We start from the raw sequence: 17,495 nt of genomic DNA on the forward strand, positions 1-17,495 counted from the left end.
CTTCCAGCCCACTAATTCCCTTTTCTAAAAAAACAAAGAAAAGAAAAGAAAGAAAGAAAGAAAAAGAAGGAAAGAAAGAAAGAAAGAGAAAGAAAAGAAAAGAGAGAAGAAAAACTCAGGCCTGTAATCCCAGCACGTTGGGAGGCCAAGATGGGCAGACAATTTGAAGTCAGGGGTTCGAGAACAGCCTGGCAAACATGGTGAAACCCTGTCTCTACCAAAAATATAAAAATTAGATGGACGTGCTGGTGCACATAAGTAACCCAGCTATCTGGAAGGCTGAGGCACGACAATCTCTTGGACCAAGGAGGCAGAGGTTGCAGTGAGCCACTGCACTCCAGCCTGGCGACAGAACAAGACTCTGTCTCAAAAAAAACCAAACAAATACCCCCCACCCCCAAACTACACAAAAGACAAGAATTTCCAAGAATAAAATCAAGAGATCTGTACTCACAATTTATGACAGTTTCAATTAGAAAAGTCTGGGTTTTATCCTTGTTTTCCTAATATTTTCTTTTCTTTTTCTTTTTTTTTTTAGACAGAGTCTTGCTCTGTCGCCCAGGCTGGAGTGCAGTGGCGTGATCTCAGCTCACTGCAACCTCTGCCTCCCGGATTCAAGCAATCCTCTGCCTCAGCCTCCCAAGTAGCTGGGATTACAGGCGCCCACCACCAGGCCCGGCTAATTTTTGTATTTTTAGTAGAGACAGGGTTTCACCATCTTGGCCAGGCTGGTCTTGAACTTCTGACCTCGTGATCCACGCGCCTCGGCCTCCCAAAGTGCTGGGATTACAGGCATGAGCCACCGCGTCCAGCCTTTCTAATATTTTCTTTAAAACGTCCCCTTTTTCAAAATTTTTTCAAATTCATGGAAAAGAGGATAGGAATTATGGTTAAAATTAGTACTAACTGATGACATTAACCGATTAATAACCAATTATGTTCTTAAAAACTGGAAATGATATACACCACTAGATAAAATAATCTTAAATGTTCATTGACTTTATAGAATTCTCTCAACATTACTTTTTGGTCACAGATAACTTCTGGGTTGACAAAAGCTTTTCTCCAGCGCCATTTCATACAGCTTTTACATGGCTGCACATCACTAGCCTGCTTTAAAGGACGGTGCTCCCAGCCCAAAGCCTCAGGAAAAAGACCATGGCTCAAAAAGCTCTGAGATGTATCCTATCCACCTGAAGAGCCTATTGCTTGCCTGTATCCCTCCCTTCTAGTGACACTAATCTTCTGTACAGAAATCCTAGTCCAGCAAACATTGCTCTCATCTTCGCCCATACACAACCTATGTAAAGAATGGCTTTCCTACTCTTTGCTGGCGAACTTCAGCTCCCGGATTAGGCATGCCACCTCTTCCAGGTAGCTCTCAGCAACGCACTTTTCCATCAGCCTGGGTGTGCCCCTCTGTGTTCCCATGGCGCTTTGCTTTCAGCGCTTCTCCCAAATTATGTTTACCTGTTTATTAGACTCTCCACCTCTGAAGACCAGGCCATTTCATTTGGCTTTTTACTGCCACGTAGTAGGTACCTGTTCAAGCTTGATGGAAGGACTTCCCCAGCCTCCCCACACATATTATGTAAAGTGATCGCTGTCTTTGCTTCCTCCTGGAGACCATTTATTTTATTTTTTTGAGACGGAGTCTCGTTCTGTCGCCCAGGCTGGAGTGCAGTGTCGCAATCTCGACTGACTGCAACCTCTGCCTCTCGAGTAGCTGGGACTACAGGCGCGCGCCACCACGCCCGGCTAATTTTTGTATTTTTAGTAGAGACGGGGTTTCACCATGTTGGCCAGGCTGGCCTCGAACTTCTGACAGCAAGTGATCCACCTACCGCGGCCTTTCAAAGTGCTGAAACTACAGGCATGAGCCTCCACACCCGTCCAGGAGCCCATTTATATGGGAGCCTGCTTCTAAAGATTATTACCTGGTGCCAGGGTATTTTCCAGACCTGTCCTCACATTCCTGTTAAACAGGAGGAAGTGAATCGCGCTCCTTTTCATCTACCTTCTCGGAGGGTTTATGCCTCCAATATTAACCTCAGCACAGCCAAAGAAAATCATTCCATTCCATTGAGCGGAGTCAGAAACATGACTAGGTCACGATCACAACCCCGTGTGTGCCAGGGTGACCGAGACTGGGTGACTTTATGGTGTTTCAACGTGTGGGTTTTGACTGATTATATTATGGGTTTTCCAGTCAAAAACTCAAAGCAGTGGATAAAGCACTTGCGACCTAAAATAAGCAATGGAATGAACAGGAAGGCGAAACCAGAGTTTAAAGCGGCAGGACAAACAGGAAAAAGGAAGAGTGAGGCAGGAAGGGTTTAAATGCAGGCTCCTCGGAGGACAAGTCGCCGCCACACCCCTGTCTGCCGTCCCGCCAGCCGCCCTCACGCGGCGCGGGAAAACGGTCGGCCTCGCCCTGGGCTCAGGTTCTCTCCGCCCGCCAGGCAGTGGGGTTTTTTTTTGTTTTTTTTGAGACGGAGTCTCGCTCAGTCGCCCAGGCTGGAGTGTAGTGGCGTGATCTCGGCTCACTGCAACCTCCACCTCCCGGGTTCAAGCGATTCTCCTGCCTCAGCCTCCCGAGTAGCTGAGACTACAGGCACGCGCCACCACGCCCAGCTAATTTTTGTATCTTTAGTAGAGACGGGCTTTCACCATGTTGGCCAGGATGGTCTCGATGTCTTAACGTCGTGATCCGGCCGCCTCGGCCTCCCAAGTGCTGGGATTACAGGCGTTAGCCACTGCGCCCGGCCCCAGCCAGGCAGTTTTAATCGAGCGCTCACAACCACTGAGACGCAGTGAAGCACCCACCATAAAATCCCAGGAGGCCGACCGCCGGTTCAGACTTTTTCTTTTCTTTAATCCCCGTCCAAGGGATCCGCCCTCACCCCCCACCCCAGCCACCCCAATTCCCTATTCCCTCCCCTTGGACGGCGCCGGGGAAAACAAGCTGCTCGAGCTTTATTTCTTCGGTGCAACCAACTCAGAATGAATTCCTCCGCCCCTGCGTGCTCAGTGAGTCGGCACCCTAGCAGTGAACTGCATTTAAAACCTCAGGAATTGAGCGAACTCTCCCAGTGGCTCTCCTCACCGGGATCCCCTTCCACGCCTCCTCCCCGTGCCGCGCCTCAGTCCGCACTGCTCATTGGCCGCGTGCCCTGCCAATCCGATGCACGTCGGCTAGGGCAAAGACCGCGAAAAAGCGCGTACACCTGGCTCTGGGAGCGCGCGCCTAACGCCAGCCAGCAGCAGGAGGCGCGCGAGGCACCACGGCCTGGCGGCCGAGAGTCAGGGAGGAACCTCATTTACATAACGGCCGCCCCTCTGTCTCCTGGCGGGGGCCGGAGTCCCGCCCCTCGTCCAACTTGAAATCTGTTGGGTCACGGGCCAGTCACTCCGACCTAGGCAAGCCTGTGGTGGAGCTGGAAGAGTTTGTGAGGGCGGTCCCGGGAGCGGATTGGGTCTGGGAGTTCCCAGAGGCGGCTATAAGAACCGGGAACTGGGCGCGGGGAGCTGAGTTGCTGGTAGTGCCCGTGGTGCTTGGTTCGAGGTGGCCGTTAGTTGACTCCGCGGAGTTCATCTCCCTGGTTTTCCCGTCCTAACGTCGCTCGCCTTTCAGTCAGGATGTCTGCCCGTGGCCCGGCTATCGGCATCGACCTGGGCACCACCTATTCGTGCGTCGGGGTCTTCCAACATGGCAAGGTGGAGATCATCGCCAACGACCAGGGCAATCGCACCACCCCCAGCTACGTGGCCTTCACGGACACCGAGCGCCTCATCGGCGACGCCGCCAAGAACCAGGTGGCCATGAACCCCACCAACACCATCTTCGACGCCAAGAGGCTGATTGGACGGAAATTCGAGGATGCCACAGTGCAGTCGGATATGAAACACTGGCCGTTCCGGGTGGTGAGCGAGGGAGGCAAGCCCAAAGTGCAAGTAGAGTACAAGGGGGAGACCAAGACCTTCTTCCCAGAGGAGATATCCTCCATGGTCCTCACGAAGATGAAGGAGATCGCGGAAGCCTACCTGGGGGGCAAGGTGCACAGCGCGGTCATAACGGTCCCGGCCTATTTCAACGACTCGCAGCGCCAGGCCACCAAGGACGCAGGCACCATCACGGGGCTCAATGTGCTGCGCATCATCAACGAGCCCACGGCGGCGGCCATCGCCTACGGCCTGGACAAGAAGGGCTGCGCGGGCGGCGAGAAGAACGTGCTCATCTTTGACCTGGGCGGTGGCACTTTCGACGTGTCCATCCTGACCATCGAGGATGGCATCTTCGAGGTGAAGTCCACGGCCGGCGACACCCACCTGGGCGGTGAGGACTTCGACAACCGCATGGTGAGCCACCTGGCGGAGGAGTTCAAGCGCAAGCACAAGAAGGACATTGGGCCCAACAAGCGCGCCGTGAGGCGGCTGCGCACCGCTTGCGAGCGCGCCAAGCGCACCCTGAGCTCGTCCACGCAGGCGAGCATCGAGATCGACTCGCTCTACGAGGGCGTGGACTTCTATACGTCCATCACGCGCGCCCGCTTCGAGGAGCTCAATGCCGACCTCTTTCGCGGGACCCTGGAGCCGGTGGAGAAGGCGCTGCGCGACGCCAAGCTGGACAAGGGCCAGATCCAGGAGATCGTGCTGGTGGGCGGCTCCACTCGTATCCCCAAGATCCAGAAGCTGCTGCAGGATTTCTTCAACGGCAAGGAGCTGAACAAGAGCATCAACCCCGACGAGGCGGTGGCCTATGGCGCCGCGGTGCAGGCGGCCATCCTCATCGGCGACAAATCAGAGAATGTGCAGGACCTGCTGCTACTCGACGTGACCCCGTTGTCGCTGGGCATCGAGACAGCTGGCGGTGTCATGACCCCACTCATCAAGAGGAACACCACGATCCCCACCAAGCAGACGCAGACCTTCACCACCTACTCGGACAACCAGAGCAGCGTACTGGTGCAGGTATACGAGGGCGAACGGGCCATGACCAAGGACAATAACCTGCTGGGCAAGTTCGACCTGACCGGGATTCCCCCTGCGCCTCGCGGGGTCCCCCAAATCGAGGTTACCTTCGACATTGACGCCAATGGCATCCTTAACGTTACCGCCGCCGACAAGAGCACCGGTAAGGAAAACAAAATCACCATCACCAATGACAAAGGTCGTCTGAGCAAGGACGACATTGACCGGATGGTGCAGGAGGCGGAGCGGTACAAATCGGAAGATGAGGCGAATCGCGACCGAGTCGCGGCCAAAAACGCCCTGGAGTCCTATACCTACAACATCAAGCAGACGGTGGAAGACGAGAAACTGAGGGGCAAGATTAGCGAGCAGGACAAAAACAAGATCCTCGACAAGTGTCAGGAGGTGATCAACTGGCTCGACCGAAACCAGATGGCAGAGAAAGATGAGTATGAACACAAGCAGAAAGAGCTCGAAAGAGTTTGCAACCCCATCATCAGCAAACTTTACCAAGGTGGTCCTGGCGGCGGCAGCGGCGGCGGCGGTTCAGGAGCCTCCGGGGGACCCACCATCGAAGAAGTGGACTAAGCTTGCACTCAAGTCAGCGTAAACCTCTTTGCCTTTCTCTCTCTCTCTTTTTTTTTGTTTGTTTCTTTGAAATGTCCTTGTGCCAAGTACGAGATCTATTGTTGGAAGTCTTTGGTATATGCAAATGAAAGGAGAGGTGCAACAACTTAGTTTAATTATAAAAGTTCCAAAGTTTGTTTTTTAAAAACATTATTCGAGGTTTCTCTTTAATGCATTTTGCGTGTTTGCTGACTTGAGCATTTTTGATTAGTTCGTGCATGGAGATTTGTTTGAGATGAGAAACCTTAAGTTTGCACACCTGTTCTGTAGAAGCTTGGAAACAGTAAAATATATAGGAGCTTAAATTGTTTATTTTTATGTACTACTTTAAAACTAAACTGAACATTGCAGTAATGTTAAGGACAGGTATACTTTTTGCAAACAAATGCATAAATGCAAATGTAAAGTAAAGCTGAAATTGATCTCAAAGTTACTGTCTTGGAGTTTTCAATTTTCCTTCCTTTATATTTTACCCATATTCGTCTTTTAAGATGTTAGTATGATGTGAAATTTATCTAACCAATCTTGTTTAATTCCCAGATGAGGGTGCTGCCTTGAATTCCAACAACTTAAGGGGAGAAGAATCTGGGTAAACTTCACCCACCCTTAAATACAGAAACCTGACTTGGGGTCTTCCTAGTGTACTCACACTCCTACAACTTAAGTGTCCAAATGAAAATTCACCTGAATATTCCAGGAAAATATGAGCTATATTCTGGGGTTAAATGTAAAATGAGCCTTTAACAAAAGCTGGGCAGAAGTTGTCTTATAATTGCCAAAGGAAATATGGAAACAAATTAATTTTGTGACATACAGGAGCCTGAAACAAGAGACAGCAGGCAAGCTTTCAAGTGACTTAATAGTGAGTATAAATTTAGTCAAACTTGTTTAATTTTCTAGTAAAACAGCTCAACTTCTGAGCTTATGGCAAATTCTAATAACATGTTTCCCGCAGTTAGAATTACTTGGGTAGGGAAACATAATTATTATTATTTTTTTCTGGTTTGGGGATCATAACGTTTTTGCAATACTTGCCTTAAATCACTACGATAGATTTCTTTTTTAAAAGGCAAACTGTACTAGATAGTCTTGTATTTTGTTAATATACAACTTGTCCATTTTCCTCCATATCCAATTTGAGATTGTTATAGATAAGAATATTGCAACCCTTTGGTGATCCACTATCCTGGACTTAATCTTTAAAATTCACATCCTTCAGAGAAAGGAATTCATTTTTATTTTTTAGTGAAATGACATGACTACTCTTTTCTTACTCTCTTTAAGGAGAACTTGAGAGAAATTCAGTAAAACCAATAGGAAAATGCATAGTTAACCTAATGTTTTTACTGCACATAGACGTTTTGATATCTTTCCACATGATGCAGGTTTGCTTCATGCTGCTCATAAGACAATAGTTATGAAAGCTTTATCTTCAATTTAGTAGTGGACCCATCTGTGTCATTCAGAGAGATTAATTTTATGAATAATGGAATGAGTAATAATTTTAAAACTAGCTAAGAAGTTAGCCTAAGAATACTGGCCTTTGGTAATGACCCTTTCATACAAGAGTTGACTCTTAAGTACACATAAGGTGTTTTTTTTTTTTTCCTTTTTAGCAAGCCTCATTTGGGTAGGGGGGAGGAAGATAAATAGCCAACAGTGAAATTGCTTCAACATAAAAACCTTTTTTTTTTTTTAAAGGAAACTGCTTTTTATACTCTGAAAAGCTAAAGATAACTCCAATTTATCAGTGCTGGTGTCACATTGGTGGAAATTTTTCAGCAATGAGCATTTAAGGGTGTTTCATGGACTACAGGCATAAATATGTGACAAACTACTATGGTACTACAAAATCAGGTTAATTGTAGCTTTAGAGTGACGTTTACTGTGAGTTTTACCAAGATAATACCCATTCTGTTACCCTTTTATTAGTCCTTTATTTGTTGAAAGTGTTCATTCCTTGCTCTAACTTCAAAATATAATGGAGTCCTTCTGTAAATGCAGTTTGGTATGACTCATTTTAGACCTCACTTAAGAGATTAGTTTCTAAAGTATCAGAAAATGACCATTGGTAGTTTTTGATCCTACGGCCTGACCTCCGGTAGCTTGCTATAATACTAACATCAATCTGGGCAGATACTTCATTTTCTATTTTGAAAAGTAATTTGTAAAACTCAAATTCTTGAGTTTTACATTCTTGAGCATTCTTGAGAGTGTTTCTTATTTAATTCTCTCTTTTCAAATTTACCAAGATTTGCATATTACCAAGATAAAGCCACCAAAGTAGCCATTCACTTTCCAGGGGTCAGTTGAAACTTGTAACCTGATAACTCCTGGGAACTCCTTAGCAGATGTTAGATCAGCCATAGTCAAATAACAGTGGAAAAAGTACTTGATGTTAGGATGGGGCTAAATTACAGTTTAAGGATTCTCCGACAGGCACTTATCTGAAATTCTTTTTTTTTTTTTTTTTTTGAGACGGAATTTCACTCTTGTTGCCCAGGCTGGAGTGCAATGGCTTGATCTCGGCTCACTTCAACCTCCGCCTCCTGGGTTCAAGCGATTCTCCTGCCTCAGCCTACCGAGTAGCTGGGATTACAGGCATGCACCACCACACCTGGCTAATTTTGTATTTTTAGTAGAGATGGGGTTTCTCCATGTTTGTCAGGCTGGTCTGGAACTCCCGACCTCAGGTGATCCGCCCGCCTTGGCCTCCCCAAGTGCTGGGATTACAGGCGTGAGCCACGCGCCAGCCCACTTACCTGAAATTCTTATCTGAATGTTTGATTAACATAGTTGTCCCTGTTTTGAGGGAACAAATATAGACACCTGTCAAACGAAGACATAACTAGTTGTTTACAGTATTTGAGATGTGTGAAATTTCAAAACAAACTCACTTTAAATTTTTTATAGTATTGATTTGATATGTATAATGAAAATGCATTAAAACTTGTACATTAGGAGATCTTAGTACAATTTACAACTGTTAATTTAACATGTATGTGTAATATTATGTTACCCATTCAATATGTAATGGAGACTTAATGAGTATTTCTTTTTTATGTATAATCTTAAACAGTAATACAACCTGGCTATCTAGATGAAATCAGAAAATCTATTTTTATGATTTTCCAATAGTGGACCTATAACATATTCTTACTTTTAACTGAATGTAGTTTATAAAGGTTGTGTTGTGAGGCATGCTCCTCTTGCTTTTGAACACGATTTAAATTGAAGTTTAAAAATATCTCACATCCGTATGTCTCAACTGTTAAGGGAATATATATGTTTGGATTCAGAAGCAGGAATATTCAATTGTGTAATGTATAAATAGGTGTGAATAAACTTCTGAATTAGTTACAGAATTAGGAGCAGAATTTAATTCCTCGAGGAAAATTTTGGATCTTTAGAAAAAGCCCAGTTTTGTTTTGTTTTCTGAGACAGAGTCTCACTCTGTTGCTCAGGCTAGAGTGCAGTGGGGCCTCCTCAGCTCCCTGCAACCTCTGCAATTCTCCTGCCTCAGCCTTCCGAGTAGCTGGGATTACAGGCGCATGCCACCACACCCGGCTAATTTTTGTATTTTTAGTAGAGAGGGTTTCACCGTGTTGGCCAGGCTGGACTTGAACTCCTGAGCTCAGCTGATCTGCCCGCCTCGGCCTCCCAAAGTGCTGGGATTGCAGGCGTGAGCCACTGCGCTTGGCAAAAGCCCAGTATTTATTATTTTTTTTGAGACAGAGTCTTGCTCTGTTGCCCAGGCTGGAGTGCAATGGCACGATGGCTCACTGCGACCTCTGCCTCCTGAGTTCAAGTGATTCTCCCACCTCAGCCTCCTGAATGGCTGGGACTATGTAGTAGAGACAAGAGTTTCACCATGTTGACCAGGCTGGTCTGGAACTCCTGACCTCAAGTGATCTGCCCGCCTTGGCTTCCCAAAGTACTGGGATTACAGGCCTGACCCACTATGCCTGGCCCCAGTGTTTATTCTTGATATAGCTTTTTATTTTTATTTTTGAGTTGGAGTCTCCTTCTGTCGCCCAGGCTGGAGTGCAGTGGAGCAATCTCGGTTACTGCAACCTCCGCCTCCTGGGTTCACGCAATTCTCCCGCCTCAGCCTCCAGAGTTGCTGGAATTATAGGCACCCACCACCACGACTGGCTAATTTTTGTATTTTTAGTAGAGACGGAGTTTCACCATGTTGGCCAGGCTGGTCTTGAATTCCTGACCTCAGGTCATCAGCCCGCCTCGGCCTCCCAAAGTGCTGGGATTACAGGCCTGAGCCACCGCACCCGGCCTTGATGTAGCTTTTGAAATGGAAATATTTTAGGGTATATGCAGTTCTGAAATTTAATAGGGTGATGCTTAATGTTAAAATGTCTTTCCCTTAGAACATACCAAGATGTCATAGGCCCTTTCTTCCCCTTCTTTCAGTGTAGATTAGGTTGTCTGTGAATTGAAGGTTTAGTAAATAAGCAATCAAAAATGGAGCTGCTGGCGCGGTGGCTCACGCCTATAATCCCAGCACTTTGGGAGGCCGAAACGGGCAGATCACTTGAAGTCAGGAGTTCGAGACCAGCCTGGCCAACATGGTGAAACCCTGTCTCTACTAAAAATACAAAAATCAGCCAGGCATGGTGGCGTGCCCCTGTAGTCCCAGCTACTCAAGAGGCTGAGGTGGGAGAATCGCTTGAGCCCGGGAGGCGGAGGTTGCAGTGAGCGGAGATCGCACTACCGTATTCCAGCCCGGGCGACAGAGTGAGACCCTGTCTCAAAACAAAACAAATGAACAAACAAAAAAACAGGAGCTGCCATCTGCAGATGTATAGTGTCAGAAAAAAAAATAATTTTTCAAAAATGGAGTTGTTAATTCAAAATTTTGCATTGCTGTTTTCTTCTGTGGAAAGTTAATTTTTTAAGGTAGAATTACAACACTATAAAAACCTGTCCATTGGCCGGGCGCGGTGGCTCACGCCTGTAATCCCAGCACTTTGGGAGGCCGAGGCGGGCGGATCATGAGGTCAGTAGATCGAGACCATCCTGGCTAACACGGTGAAACCCCGTCTCTACTAAAAAATAAGCCGGGCGTGGTGGGGGCTCCTGTAGTCCCAGCTACTCAGGAGACTGAGGCAGAATGGCGTGAACCCGGGAGGCGGAGTTTGCAGTGAGCCGAGATCATGCCACTGCACTCCAGCCGGGGCGACAGAGCGAGACTCCGTCTCAAAACAAACAAACAAAAAAACAAACCTGTCCATTATCTTTTTTATAGAATTAGCATGAATTATATTCAGTTAATGTCTTGGACCTAAAATCTGGGACCAGCAATTTAGTTATATATTATATGCTCTTAGATAGTTATATGACCTTAAGTTTCTCTTAATTAGGAAAAAAAAAAATTCCCTCACAGGACACTTGGAGTTATCAAATATTTAGAAGTTACCTTCATCCCTACTAAATATCATCAATTGTGTTTATTCTTCTTTACAGGGACAATCATATTTCCAGTTTTGGTTGTGAGTTTCTAATGTCATTTAAAAAGAAACCTAACTGGTGAAAAATGTACCTTAGGAAATCGGTGGGTCACTTTTTAAAATAAGTACTGTAATGATTAAGAGATGTAAAAACAATCTTTTCTTCCTCCTTTTGTTTGGGGTAAAGTGATAGAGAAGTATAAGATTGTCCCTTCAGAGTTACTGAAACTTTCCTTTAAATATTATGTCCCTCTATCACATGCGAAATAACTTCTCCTTTAATTTTTAAGTAGTTATTGTTTTGGGCTCTCAACTTTTATTTTTACCTAAGTTTTGTACATTAGACAGCCTAAGTTTATTCTGTGATAAGATATATAGATCTTAAGTTTTCTATCAGCACTTCTCCACACATTATTGGGATGAACTGAAGAGGTTTACTGACCACTAGTGTGGTCTTCCCGGTAATGATTATGTAGTGATTGGATGCCATCCAGATTCCTTGGTCTGTCTGCATCTTTTCTTGAGCTTTACCTCATTATTTCCCTGTCCTGTCCACCCCAAGTTATGTTCGCTACTTGGTGAAAAGCTCTTGGCATATGGGATAGTCTCCTTTTCAAGCGTGTCATCTTGTAGTAAGAAAGCCTTGCCTGCGGCCAGTATATAAGTGGGTTTCCATATACCTGGACCAACTGAACAGCTGCCAGAATGGACTCAAGTGAGCAGAACATGAATCTAGATGATTACTATTTAATCACTGTAGCCAGTGATTGTGTATTACCAAGTAGTGAGACTGGGAGGGTGGGAATAGAAGAAGCAGTGGGATGACTACTGACATAACTTAAAAGTTAATGGGAGTATATATCCACTACTTATGAGCCTCTCATACCAATTAAGCTGTGGTGATACAAAAGAATATACTAGGCATTCCCAATCATGTTGCATCATCTAGCATTGCTCACTTAGAGCTGGGAGGAAAAAAATCAGCCAGAATCAGCATTATCAACTCCGTTGCAAGAAGGAATTACAAGACACATGATTTGAAAAGTGTAAATGTAAAAATATCAATTGAATACCCATTGACACTAAGCAAGTTTCTTTGTTTTTGAGCAACACTAATTTTGAGTACTTAAGACTGGTGCTTTACACACACCACTCCAAAAATCCACATAACCCCTGATTTGGTGTTTTCAGAAGAAAGATCAGAATAGTCTTGTCCTAGATTCCACAGCTTGTTAAGCAGCACAACTGTTATGAAAACCTTATTTCCGTACCCATGTTCTCTTCCACGAGGCTACCCTGCTTCCCCACCTCAACCCTGCTCTCCCCATCAACCTAGGTTCATCCTGGATTTGAACTTAATAATAGTGCTAATCATGAAAGTTAGGAAGAAATGGATCTTTCTTCCCTATAGGACTGAATGTAGTTACTCCAATTAAAACAGTAAAGTGAATAACTTCATGAAGTTCAAGGTTGGAATGCCATGAAGAATTATGCCCTGGGCGGCTTTACAATGGATAGGCCAATACGTCGCCACGGCTTTTAAGACTGGGAAACGGGGCACCAGGCTGGGCTTTAGAAATCGCTGGAGAAGCCTGGGTGCGGCCGCAGCCCGCGCGGCCTAGGACGGAAGCGACGCCCCGCCCCGCTCCGCGCCCCGGGCAGCCGTGTGCAGGCGCCTGCGGGCGGTATCCTCGGCGACGCCGTATGGCTTCCAGGGCGAGGCCATGTACCGGGTGCCCGAGTTTTATGCGAGGAGGAAGCGGTTAGGTGGGCAGACCCCTTACTTGATGGATGTAAGTGCAGCCTTGGTCGCCCCCATACCCGGGCTGGGCGCAAGGCGGGCCCTGCTGCCCCCAACCGGCGCCGCGCCCCTCGCCCTCCTCCAGAGGCGGGTCGTCGCCTTCGCCCCGGGCTGGCGGTTCTCAAAGACACCTGGCCATATTTGCCTAGAAAAAAAAAAAACTCTGGTGTATTTGACAGATGGTCAGAATTGAATTCTGGCTCCCTGCGCAGGTAGTTAGATATTTACGAAATCCCACCTCACCACCTCTAATTGGTTGGTTGCAAAATAGGGAGACCTACTGCGGGGGAAGCAGCCCCGCTCTGGATAGAAAGGCTGGTGGGTGCTAGCTTCCACGGTGAAAAGGGTGTACTTAACTTTTTGCCACTGCCTGTAAAGGGCAGGCTCAGTGTTGGAGCCCGGAAGTCTCCAGAACCAGACAGCTGAGGCTGTCCTGGGTATCAGTTTATTGTCTGAATTTCAATTAATTGGTAGATTGCTATGATGAGCTATATGTAGTCCCAATTTCCTTCCTATCTTTCGCCCTTCCCTTCCTCCGCTGCTTCTTTCCTCTTTTCCTACTTTCCTCCCTTCCTTTCTCCCTCTCCCTCCTTCCTGCCGTTCTACTGAAGCCACACCTAAAATCAATCAAAGCGATAAAATCCTAGCTTCAAGTTTAACGCTTTAGGATTCTACACTCTTACTGAAAGTGTAAAGAGGGACTAGTAGGAACCATTGTTTTTTGTTTCCTTCTTATTACTTAAAAGATGTGTTAGTAAGTAGGAATTATTGTTAAAGGTTTATTGTGGCATATGGATTGTAAATTGAGCTTTTAATTATTTTTGCTGCAATCATTTCGTTTTACAGCAGTTGGGATTACGATTAGGGATGTGGTACTGGAAAGATGAAACCAGAACTCTTGAATTCAGAAGGTAAAATTTAACAACACTTTATTAGAGTTTTTATAAAAATTACATGTGCCTGGGGGAAAAAAAAGCAACAGAAGAGTATAGAGAATAAATACCCACTGAACCTTTGCCATCTGGAAGGAAACAATCATTTCAGTGAACAGCCTTTCTCTGAACGCTTACCAGCTGCTTCACATGGACCAGACACTGTGCTAATGTTTACCAACTCTTTGAAACAGCTGCATGTTAACCAATTTACAGATGAAGAAACTGAGGTTTCAAAGGGTTCAGCGACTTGAGGAAAATTAAGTGACTTAGCCCAATCACACAGCTCAGAGGTGACTAAGATTATTTAAATGTAGGTCTGTTTGATTTACAGAGTCCATGTTTTTAATTATAAAATTGCCTTTTTGAGTTAGAGAAATATAGTTAACATTAATGGGAACATATTATATCTGCTGCAATAGATGGTGAATCTCACAAGGTAAAATTACTAAATTAGAAAAAACTGATTCTAATCTCTATGAAAAAAGACACTGACTCTTACAAGTGTATAGCTAAATTAATACTAGACACTATCTGTTGTGCACTGATTGTGTGCCAGATATTTGCATATTTTTCCAATTCTTAAAACAACTGTGGAAAGTGAACATTAATGTCCTCATTTTATAGATGAAGAAACAAGGCTCAGGGAGATTAAGCAACTGAACCAAAGTCATACAGCCAGTAAGTAGCAGAACTGATAGTTTGAACCAAGATTTGTCTAATGCTAAAGCCCTTTTCATGTACTCGCTGTCTCCCTCAACTAGACAGTAAGCTCCTCAGTGGCAGGAACTATCTTATTCATCCTCAGGTCTCTGGAGCCAGCTACAGAACTTCTTCAGTAGGTACTCAACAAATATTTATTGAGCATGTTCAAAGAATCTGCTAGATTCAAGCAGAGGAAGAATAGATGCAGGTGATCCATTAGAAGACTAGTTGTAGGATTACAGATAATTATACAAGTAAGCAATAGCGAGAGTTAGAATTAACTCCAGGTTGGTAAAAATAGAAAGGCAAAGGACTAAGAAATACTTAAGAGAGGATTGACAGGATGTTTGGATAGGATTGATAGGATGTGGGGATTGGATGTGAAGGGAGAGGGAAAAGCAGTTGTTTAGATTGGCTCCTAGGTGTCTGACTTGGGTGATCAGGTGGCTGGGATTGCCCTTCACCCATATACAGCATTGAAGTGACAAAACTGGTGGCTGGGTGTGGTGGCTCAAGCCTGTAATCCCAGCACTTTGGGAGGCTGAGGCGGGCAGATCACCTGAGGTCGGGAGTTTGAGACCAGCCTGGCCAACATGGTGAAATCCTATCTCTAATAAAAATACAAAAATTAGCCGGGCGTGATGGCGGGCACCTGTAATCCCAGCTACTTGGGAGGCTGAGACAGGAGAATTGCTGGAATCTGGAAAGCAGAGGTTGCAGTGAGCCAAGATTGAGCCACTGCGCTCCAGCCTGGGCGACAGAGAGAGACTCCATCTCAAAAATAAATAAATAAATAACATGACAAAACTGGCCATGTTTCAGGTTGCTATGACTTGTTCACATTAATACGTCTTGGGCTGTTGGACAAATGGGGGCTGGAGGTCAGGAAAGGAGTTGGCTAAGCAGACATACATAGTTACACTAGATGTTTATAGTTACATTATAAATATAATGACATGTTTCATGATAATTAAACAAATAATTCAAAGGCTTAACATTTTATTAGAGTCAAAATCAAAAGTTTACATTTTATAGAATATGTATTTCAGTATTTCTGAGTAACCCGTCACTTCAAAGCAGTAATTTCAGTTTTCTTTCTCAGGTTTGCCGCAGAAGATTCTGTCCAGTGGCTCCTGAAACATCACCCTCAGTGAGTGTGAGACAGACAGTGAGATAGCTTTGGGATTAGACAGACAAGATAGTTACAGAAGTCAAAATACATGTTAAAGCACAAGAGAATGTGTGTATAAATATTAAGTGCCAATTTTTTTTTTTTTGAGATAGAGTCTCACTCCTGTTGCCCAGGCTGGTGGACAGTGGCATGATCTTGGCTCACTACAGCCTTGACTTCCCAGGCTTAGGTGATTCTCCCATCTCAGCCTAGTACTCACACCACCATGCCCAGCTTGTTTTTTGTATTTTTAGTAGAGACAGTTTTTCACCATGTTGCCCAGGCTGGTCTCGAACTCCTGGGCCCAAGTGATCCACCCTCCTAAGCCTCCCAAAGTGCTGGGACTACAGGTGTGAGCCACCGCATCTGGCTGACAGTATTTTTCAAACTAATTTTCAGTGCTAATCTAACGACCCACCCCAAATGGTGCTATTTCATGTTTGAGCCTACTAATAAGTTCGCAGCTATCAGTTTCATATCATCTTTCATATTCGTGAAATATTCATATTCATAAACTAGAGTTTCTTTTTGTTTGTTCCCAAATTGTTCTTAAACTGTGGTTTGATTTGATTTCCACTAATTTTGGAGAATAGCTACGTGATGGTATGATTTAAAATGTAGGTTATATGACATAATACAAAAACATGAGCAAAAGAGGCCAGACACAAAAATGTAAATACTGCATGATTACATTTGTATAAAAGTTTTGACAAATAGGCAAAAAATAACTTCAATGATAAGAGGAAATAAAAAATAGTGGTCACCTTCAGGGGGTTATCAACTGGTAGCAGTGGGAGACAGTATAAGGAAACCTTCGGAGGTGGTAGAAATGGTCTATATGTTGATCTGGGTGGTAGCTTTATGTGTATATACATATTAAAAAAATTCATCACGCTGCACACTTTAAGATTTATGCACCTTACTACGTGTAAGTTATAACTAAAAAAAAAAAAAAAAAACAACAACTCCAAACCCCGGACTACGTGGAGTACACAAACTGGGGGGCCGTTAAGGGAGTTGGAAAAGGAATTATTATGAAGAGCAGATCGGGGTGAGCCAGCCTGTTTTTGGTAGAGCTGCTCTGTGTTTAAGTAACTCAATGTGGTGAGCCTTATAGTATCAGGATTACCTTGGGCATCTACCTGCTCAGGTAGAGGAAGGCAGACCCTTGTATATTTTAGGTCAGAGCTGGTATTTGGATTCATTGGAAATATAGGTATTGGTTCCCTGTTAAAGTCTGAGCAAATCCCATCACAATTGTTTTTTTTTTTTTTTTTTTTTTTTTTGAGACGGAGTCCCTTTCTTGTGGCTCAGGCTGGAGTGCAGTGGAGCGGTCCTGGCTCACGGCAACCTCCCCCTCCCGGGTTCAAGCGATTCTCTTGCCTCAGCCTCCCGAGTAGCTGGGATTACTGGCATGTGCCACCACACCCAGCTAATTTTGTATTTTTAGTAGAGACAGGGTTTCTCCATGTTGGTCAGGCTGGTCTCTATCTCCCGACCTCAGGTGATCCACCCACCTCGGCCTCCCAAAGTGCTGGGATTACAGGCGTGAGCCACCACACCTGGCTTCATCACAAATTTTAACAGATAGTTCAAACCTATCTGTTACAGATAGTTAGTTCAAACCTATCTGTTCAAACCTAAGTCAGAGAGGACTCTTGAGCTGGAACATGCTTTTTCTGTCAGAGACAGTGCTACTGGAGACTTTTGTTACTCCAGTTGGTGGTGAAGAGGCCAGGCTGAGGCAGAGGTGGTTGAGAGTAGACAGTGGTAGGGATGGAAGCTGCAGAGGTAGCAGGCGTGTTCAGTGACTGCTCTCATAC

At 45.2% G+C, this 17,495-nt stretch overlaps 2 protein-coding genes and 1 long non-coding RNA gene across 10 annotated transcripts in view, besides 3 other annotated features; 2 read left to right on the forward strand and 1 right to left on the reverse strand.

The window, feature by feature from the left end:
* HSPA2-AS1 (HSPA2 and ZBTB1 antisense RNA 1) overlaps positions 1-3,158 on the reverse strand; it is a 26,218-nt gene extending 23,060 nt beyond the window's left edge. The window contains exon 1 of the long non-coding RNA NR_110550.1: positions 3,107-3,158. This is a non-coding gene — a long non-coding RNA (HSPA2 and ZBTB1 antisense RNA 1). The remainder of the gene's footprint in view (positions 1-3,106) is intronic.
* Positions 1-6,027, forward strand: part of HSPA2 (heat shock protein family A (Hsp70) member 2) — a 7,333-nt gene extending 1,306 nt beyond the window's left edge. Inside the window, exon 2 of one of the 2 annotated variants that reach the window (NM_001387931.1) lies at positions 3,635-6,027. In NM_001387931.1, coding sequence (NP_001374860.1) covers positions 3,640-5,559 — 1,920 coding nt within the window. In that variant the 5' untranslated portion in view covers positions 3,635-3,639 and the 3' untranslated portion in view covers positions 5,560-6,027. Of the gene's footprint in view, positions 1-3,530 lie in introns of those variants that run through there. The other variant, NM_021979.4, reaches the window with a different exon arrangement.
* Positions 3,306-3,395: a silencer, noted in NCBI's record as "silent region_5838". NCBI's record gives its function as "represses an Ori minimal core promoter by ATAC-STARR-seq in GM12878 lymphoblastoid cells {active_cell/tissue: GM12878}" and the evidence as "EXISTENCE:reporter gene assay evidence [ECO:0000049][PMID:35858748]".
* Positions 3,566-3,675: an enhancer, noted in NCBI's record as "active region_8536". NCBI's record gives its function as "activates an Ori minimal core promoter by ATAC-STARR-seq in GM12878 lymphoblastoid cells {active_cell/tissue: GM12878}" and the evidence as "EXISTENCE:reporter gene assay evidence [ECO:0000049][PMID:35858748]".
* Positions 12,617-12,906: a silencer, noted in NCBI's record as "silent region_5839". NCBI's record gives its function as "represses an Ori minimal core promoter by ATAC-STARR-seq in GM12878 lymphoblastoid cells {active_cell/tissue: GM12878}" and the evidence as "EXISTENCE:reporter gene assay evidence [ECO:0000049][PMID:35858748]".
* Positions 12,751-17,495, forward strand: part of PPP1R36 (protein phosphatase 1 regulatory subunit 36) — a 39,421-nt gene continuing 34,676 nt past the window's right edge. For 2 of the 7 annotated variants that reach the window (NM_172365.3, XM_011536468.4), the window contains exons 1-3: positions 12,751-12,856; positions 13,711-13,775; positions 15,604-15,651. In NM_172365.3, the coding sequence (NP_758953.1) occupies positions 12,788-12,856; positions 13,711-13,775; positions 15,604-15,651 (182 nt within the window). In that variant the 5' untranslated portion in view covers positions 12,751-12,787. Of the gene's footprint in view, positions 12,857-12,984; positions 13,077-13,710; positions 13,776-14,423; positions 14,478-15,603; positions 15,652-17,495 lie in introns of those variants that run through there. The other 5 variants (XM_047430998.1, XM_047430999.1, XM_005267354.5 and 2 more) reach the window with 5 other exon arrangements.

The sequence above is a fragment of the Homo sapiens genome, chromosome 14 (genome assembly GCF_000001405.40).
Source record: "Homo sapiens chromosome 14, GRCh38.p14 Primary Assembly".
NCBI lineage: Eukaryota > Metazoa > Chordata > Mammalia > Primates > Hominidae > Homo > Homo sapiens.